Here is an 8,539-nt window from a genome sequence, read left to right as displayed (position 1 = left end):
CTCCATAGTGGCTGTACTAATTTCTATTTCTACCAACAGTGTACAATGATTCCCTCTTTTCCACATCCTCACCAGCATTAGTTATTGCCTGACTTTTGGATAAAAGCCATTTTAACTGATCGGCTGGCATTAGTGAATATATTAATGATTTTAATCAATATGTTGTTGTTAATAATATATGTACAGAAAGTGCCACAAATCATATTTATATAGATGAATGCATTTTCACACAGTGAATATAGCCAAGTAACCAAAAGCCAGATGCATACATACACACATTATATTATATTATATTATATTATATTATATTATATTACATTATATTATATTAATAGGAGCTTCAGAAGCCCCTCTCAAGCCTGCTTTCAATCACCATCTCATCCTTACAACACCTTAAATTAGTATTATCTCTTTTGAACTATTTATTAATTGGAATTATAAAACTGGAATTGTTTGTTTTACTTTTGTTACATGTAATTATAGTGTTTTCTATTGCTATGAACATCCATATACCTTTTTGGTGCACTTATGTATATATTTCTGTTGAGGCATTGGTATATATATTTTTATCTTTAGTATATTTATAGAATGATGTTACAACATTGCAAATCATTTGGTAGACTGAAGTTGACTAAGGTTTTCTATAACACTATTCTCTATGTGAAGAAAAAAAATTATGTCCATACACTGCAGGGTCTTCCAATTCTCATAGTTAAGGAGCCCCTACAGGCTAAAGAAAATGACTTAAAACCTTGCATAAGAAGCACTTATGTAAACACTTTATAACATATTTAATTATTTGCCTTCCTGGCCTTCTATGGATTAACTAAATATGTACTCGATCATTTTGTTGAAGATGTATTCGATCATAAGTTTAGTATTATATCATATCTTTTTATCATAGGGAGTGTCTGGAGGCAAATAATTTTATCATAGAGAAAATGATATCACATAAACAATAGCACTTTTGTTTTGTTATAAACTAGGCAAAGATTAAATTATATAGTATTCTTAGAATTAGAGAAAAGAGTAGAGCCCATCTCCTTTCCCTCCTCCTTTCCTCTCCTCACTCTGGAGTGTAAAACAATTCACCATCTCACATTATGCATACAGAAACTGCACTGTAGTTCAGCAGAGGGATAGAGAAAAATAACAGCTATAGCTGAAGCTAGAAAGAAACTGTAAGAAGACAACAATGCAATTAATCAATTTGGAGTCTGACCAGAAGAATGGAAGTAATTCCTTTTTTTTTCACTTAAGTTTTAGGCAGTTTTAATGAACAAATGTTCTTTGCTGTTGTTTCCTTCATTTCATTCTTGTGAAAGCAAAACAGGAACACAACCAATACTTCCCTTCATTTAATTCTCCAAAGCAGCAGTCCTTTGATTTAAAATCGAGAGTGCCTATGTGTACAAAGTACCAGAATTGTTCTGGTAAGTTTTGAAAAGCAGTCTAAAAAGACAAAACAAAACAAAATCCACTTTCAAATCAAAATGATTCACACAATTTTTCTACGTTAAAGAGCCCAGCAAGTAGTTAAATTGAATTCAGAGCCACAGATACTCCTTTACATACCTCGTTCGTGGGTTGGGATATTATCTAATAGTTTACGGTTTCTTTTCACTAATAGAGTTTATGAATTAGAAACCTATAAGGAATATGGAGAAATCTCAAAAATATATTTCTTAAGTTGACTCTAAACCATAGCAGACTGGCTTATACACACACACACACACACACACACACACACACATTTTCAGCTCATCAAGCCAAAATGTATGCGGAAATGTATTTTGTTGTAATTTTTGTTTGTAAAAATGATTTAATTTGGTAGCAAGATGGTTTTAAGATCATTATTACCTATGATTTCATTATCTTTAAAATATATTTTAAAAAATAAATTTGAATGACTTTAATGTGAAAATGTCTAACGACTTTAAATAAGTCACTAGGAGAATAATAACATTGTTTTGTAGGCAGAAATGTCAATGTTTATAACTTGTGAGAAGACATGACATCCATTCACTATTTCACTTACTGGCACGGACTGTGACTAAATCAGTCAAAAAAATGCTTTGCTTTTTCCTTTTGTGTCTTTATCCTTTTGGTATAAATTATTCCCAAACTCTTCTTTAAATATTGTCATGAAGTGTCATGTCCAGAAATACAAGGTATTTCATCTGCAATGTGTCTTCTTTAGCATGAAATTACTACTTTAAGCCTGATGGCTTCATGCTAGGGAATCCACACTGGAACATGCTCAGTTTCTCTTTTTGGTCAAACCCCAGCTGTATACTTGTCTCCTATCCCTGGTGGTCAAAAGAACTTGAGCAGCCCACATTTAGTTCAACATTGTCCCCTTGTTTGAGCTGTCTCTCCATAAAGCCACACCAATCTTTCTGTTTGTTTGCTTAAGCCTATTACTAACTTTACTCTTTTCATAGTCACTAACTAACCTGGACAAAGAGCATTTCTCTTTGCACATAAAATAGAGCTCCCTTGCACAGCTACTTCAGATTGTTTTTACCCACTCTACAAATTGAAGGTGAAAGGAATAATTGTTTGTTAGAATTACATATCTTAGACAAAGTGGAAATAATATCTATCAGGTTTTTTTTTTAGTTTATTAGAGTTACATGGTGGAGATCCATTGCCTTTTCTTGGTAAAATATTTTTATGTCTTTCAAAAATGGAACTACTCTCTCAATTGCTGAAGCCAGAAATGTAGGTATCTTTTGCCATTTTCTCCCCTTCAATTCTCAACTCCAATCAACAATTACTATATCAACTTCCTAAATACTTCTCACAACTGTCTAATTAACCTAATTTCCCCCATCAATTTTTAATCTAAATTTAAATCATACCTTATTTGAATTATGACCTCATAGACCTTCTCACATCCTTTCTCATCACATATTGCATAATCCTTCTCCTTACAGAATGTTCTAAAAGTGACCTTGCACTGATTTCTTGGTCTACATATCCCTACCATGGCTGGTCTCAAGCTAGCAATGTGACAGTGGACTTGGGAAAATACGTGGACCACCTATAAGCCAGTTCTAGACCAAGCCAGTACAACCCACCACAGATAGTCTAATTCAGATTAATTCAGATACTGACTTAAAGAATTTCCTTGGCTTTGTCAATGTCTCTTCTACTAGAATAAAAAATTCTTCCATTTACAATTCTAGAAATGTCTAGTAATTTCAGCTCAGAAATCAAAATGTATTTTCCTGAAGGCTTCTTTTTTCCTTTTAAGATTAGCTCAGTGTTGTGATCAAGACTAAGTGACACAATATGTCCATGCTGCAAGATGTTTGCATGGGCCTTTTAGTCATCATTAATCTTTTAGCCATGTTATGTCTCTCACTGTATCCTATGTATGTGTGTGTGTGTGTATATATATATGTAGATACTATATATATAATATAATATATATTATATTATATATATAATTATTTATTACATATTAATATATATTATATATTATATTTTTTATATATATACACATGCACACATTATTTTCATGGGCATACGGAACATCTTCTAGAATAGACCACATATTGGCTGCAAAACAAGACTCAACAAATTTTTAAAACAATAGAAATCATATCAAATGACTTTTCTGACCACAGTTGAATAAAACTACAAATGAATAACAAGAGGAACCTTAGAAAATATGCAAACATGTGGAAATGAAACAACATGACCAATGAGTCAAGGAAGAAATTAAGAAGAAAATTTTAAAATTTTATATAAAAAGAAGTATGTCCACTATCACCACTTCTAGTCAACAAAGAACTAGCAGTGCTAACAATAGCAATCAGGCCAGAAAAAAAAGCATTCAAATTGGAAAGGAATAAATAAAATAGTTTATTTGTAGATGACATGATCCTATATATAGAAAACCCCAAAGATTTCACATGCACACACACACACACACACACACACACACAGACACACACACACACACACAGAGAGAGAGAAAGAGAGAGAAACTGTTAGAACTAAAAAATTCAGTAAAGTTGCAGGAACAAAAAATCAACATACAAAAATTAATAGCATTTTTATATACAAATAACAGCCTACCTGAAGAAAATAAGGAAAATAATCCCATTTATGGTAGCATCAAAACAAATACCTAGGAATAAATTTAATCTAGGAAATGAGAGATTTGTACACAGAAAGCTATAAAGCATTGATGAAAAACATTGAAAAAGACACAAAAAATGTAAATATATACTGGGTTTATGGCTGAGAACTCAAATTGCTAAAATGTTAATAATACTTAAAACAATATACAAATTTAACACAATCCCTATGAAAATTCCAATGGTATTCTTCACAGAAATAGAAAAAAAATGCTAAAATTCTTATGGAACCAAAAAAGAAACCCCAAGTAGTCAAAGCAATACAGAGGAAAAAGAAAAAGAAAAAAAAAGTTGGAAGCATCACCACCATTCCTGTTTCAAAATAGAAGCATGGCATATTTTATTGCACTGTGCTTTATTGTGCTTTGCATATATACACTTTTTCCTAATTGAATATTGCTTTTTTTTCTTTTCTTTCTTTTTTTTTTTTTTTTGTTTTGAGACGGAGTCTTGCTCTTTCAACCAGGCTGGAGTGCAGTGGCGCGATCTCGGCTCACTGTCAGCTCCACCTCCCATGTTCACGCCATTCTCCTGCCTCAGCCTCCCCAGTAGCTGGGACCACAGGCGCCCGCCACCACGCCTGGCTAATTTTTTGTATTTTTAGTAGAGACGGGGTTTCACCGTGTTAGCCAGGATGGTTTCAATCTCCTGACCTCGTGATCTGCCCGCCTTGGCCTCCCAAAGTGCTAGGATTACAGGCCTAAGCCACCGTGCACGGCTGAATATTGCATTTTTTACAAATTGTTTGTGGTAACTCTGCAACCAGCAAGGAAGTTAATTAGCCTCATTTTTCCAACAACATATGCTCACTTCATGTCTTTGTATTTCATTTTGGTAATCCCCATAATATTCCAAACTCTTTCATTATTATAATATCACTAATGATGATTTGTGGTCAGTGATCTTTGATGTTACTATTATAATTGTTTGGGGATACCACAAACCATGTCCAGATAACACAGTGAACTGAACTGATAAATGTTTTGTGTGTTCTGACTGCTCAACAACCAGTTATTCCCAATCTCTTTCCCTTGTCCGGGGTCTCCCTATTTCCTGAGATATAAAGATATTGAAATTAGGCCAATTAATAACCCATTATAGATGCTATTAAGTATTCACCATTCTAGATGCTAAGTATTCAAGGGTAAGGAAAAGTTTTATACCTTTCATTTTAAATCAAAAGCTTGAAATGATTATGCCTAGTGTGGATGACATGTCAAAGGTCATGACAGGCTAAAAACTTGACCTCTTGTGCCAGTTAGGTGTGACTGAATTCCTGCAATCTCATAATAAAACTTGACCAGATGAAGTGTTGCTTTTATGGATCAACAAGAAATGTGGTTTCTTAAAATGGAATCCAACCCTGATGAGGATGCTGTGAACGTCGTTGAAAGGACAACATATGATTCAGAATATTACATAAACTTACTTGATAAGTACCTAAAGGATTTGAGAAGATTATTCCTATTTGAAAGAAGTTCTACTGTGGGTAAATGCTAAGAAAAAGCATTGAATGCTACAGAGAAATTGTATGTGAATGGAAGAGTCAATCAATGTGACAAACTTTATTGTTGTCTTGAACTAATTGCTGCAGCCACTTCAACCTTCAGCAACCACCGTCCCAATCAGTCTACAGCCATTAAGTTTTAAGCATGATCCTCCACCAGCGAAAGGATTATGACTCACTGAAGGAAAAGATGATTTTTAGCATTTTAGAACAATAAAAAAATTTAAATAAAGGGTCTACACATTGATTTTTAGACACAATGCTATTATGCACTTAATAGACTATGCTATGGTATAAACATAACTTTGGAATTCACTGGGAAACCAAAAAATTTGTGGACTCACTTTATTATGGTATTAACTGTGTCACCCAGGCTGGAGTGCAACAGTGTCATCACAGCTCACTGACTTCAGGGCTCAGTTGATTCTCCCACCTCAGCCTCCAATGTAGCTGGGGCTACTTGTGTGCACCACCACACCAGACAATTTTTTTAAATTTATTTTTTGTAGAGACAGGGTTTCACCATGTTCCCCAGGCTGGTCTCAAACTCCTGAGTTCAAGTAATCTGCCCGCTTTGCCCTCCCAAAGTGCTGGAATTAACAGGCATGAGCCATCACACCAGCCTAGATGAACTTTTAATAACCAAAAAGTACTAGGGAATGATGGAATCTTCCCAAGATAGAAAATATCTGCATGTAGGGGTAGAAATAAAATGTTACTTAGTACAATTAAAGGGAATAACTGGAGAAAAGTGAAAGTGCTTTGTGTTCATATGTCCATAACATTGAGATTTTCAATATGCTTGTCTTATGTTTCCTTAACTTGACAGTAATTCTCAATCTTTTTAATAAATGGCGTACATCACCTAATGAAAACATCATACTTCCAACAGCAATACTGATTGATGTTAGCAATGATTTTTTTTAAACCTGTTTATGCTGGATACCTGAAGGGTAAGCCAGTTATCTCAGAACATCTAAGAATATGTATAATCTGGAAAAGTTTCCTGTGTGATTCTGACAAGGTCGACTCTTACTGAGAATCACGTTTTATGATGCAGAAGGAGGAATACAATAAGGAGACAGAGAGAGAAAATAGTCAATACTAGAGGATTTAGAAAAATACACAATCTTGCTATTCTAGGAGGGAAAATTTTAAAAGGACCTGATAAAAATGTAAAAATACTACAGAGAAATCATGAAAGAGGATCTTTGGATTAAGCATGTAGCAAGCCATTAAAGACAGCCAGAGGTAATGACTTCAGAGGCATGCTTTTCATAGTAACATACATTTATGGAACTTAAATATTGTAGAAATGTATTTGACTAAGACAATTTACTCAAGAAATTTGTGCTGGTAATATAAAGGAAGTGTCTGATAAATAATGGTAAAAATGACAATAGGGTTAAGTATATCAGAGAAGACCTGTAAAAATAAAAAGGTAAAGAAGGAGAGGATAATGACTAAAGATGCAGCAATAAAAGAGATTCTTTGATAAAACAGTGGTGGGGAAGTGGGAAAAGATGGGGAATTTGTAATTAGTTCCTAAATACGCCCCCCTTCCCTGCATTCCTTGACCCTTACTTCAGAAACAAGGGGAAGAAAAAAGAATAAGTAAAGAGATCTGAGCATGTTGTGGTAAAAATACATGAAAGACTAGGCTCATTATAAAAGCAGGGTGTCCCTTCATAGCTGAGTGTGGGAGTGTGGAATTCAACTTTATCCATGGATTATATATGAAGTCATAATGAATAAATTATTTTAGAGATGTAGCAAGTCCCTTGCCTTTTGATAAAAGCCCGGTAATTTTCTTATTTTATACCTTTTTTTTCTTGTTCTTTTGAAGGTTAAATTATTTGGAAGAAATTGAAAGTCATTCCCCTTTACCCCACAATAAATGCAAATAGTTCAATTGCGTCGGCCTATTCAAAGCAGTTTAAGAATTGCTAAACTTCTGAAAAGCACAGGGAACAAGCTCATCAGCCAAGTTTCTCTTTCTAGTATTATATTCAGATTGGTTTTATAAATTTTGAAAAATTAAATTGAAATCAATAAAAATCCCGTGGGCCATGTATTGCTATGTTTACTTTTTATGTTTGTGACAATAACTTATCTCCAAGGCACCACAAACCACTGTGTGTTCATGCTGTACTAAGTATTCCCTTGTGATATCTGCTACTGGGTACAATTTGTCCTCTTAGAATAGCAGATTTTTGAGAAGCTATCACAATTCACAAAGGACTTTCAGATTCCTTTTGCAAGGTTAAGTGACACTTAATTTGCATTTGCACTCCAAGGCTTTTTTGTATGCTGGTGAGCATTCTGAAACTTCCAGAATCTTTTAAAAAGAGAAATTCTTGTTCAAGCCTTTCATCAACCTCTCCATTATCATTATAGTAGGGAGTAAAATATACACTTTAGCTCAGCATTTTCTATTTGGCGTAACGGCATTAGATTGTTTTTTCTTCATTTTACCTATCAAAAGCTATATTTGTTCATTCTCCTACTCCTTTGTCCCACCTCTTTCTGTATTAAATTATTAAGAGTTTGTCTCAATAGCTGTGTTAAGTATTAGTAACATTACAGGAAATAGAACTGACAATAGCTCCTCTTTTCATTAAGTTGACAAGCTGGATGATAAATTTAAACCATGAGATTTTAATTGAGATTGTGTACAGAATGTATTATGAAGCATATAACAGGGTGCCTAGTGTAAGTCAGGGTACTTGTTTGCAAAACAGAAACGTTTTTACTTAAGTAGAAAAGAAATTTCTTTCTTTTTTAAAAAATTTTTAGTTCAGGGGTACATACATAGGTTTGTTATATAGGTAAACTCATTTCATGCAGGTTTGTTGTACAGATTATTTTGTCACCCAGGTAT

This window comes from Homo sapiens, chromosome 1 (genome assembly GCF_000001405.40).
Source record: "Homo sapiens chromosome 1, GRCh38.p14 Primary Assembly".
Lineage (NCBI taxonomy): Eukaryota > Metazoa > Chordata > Mammalia > Primates > Hominidae > Homo > Homo sapiens.
This window is presented reverse-complemented; position numbering follows the sequence as displayed.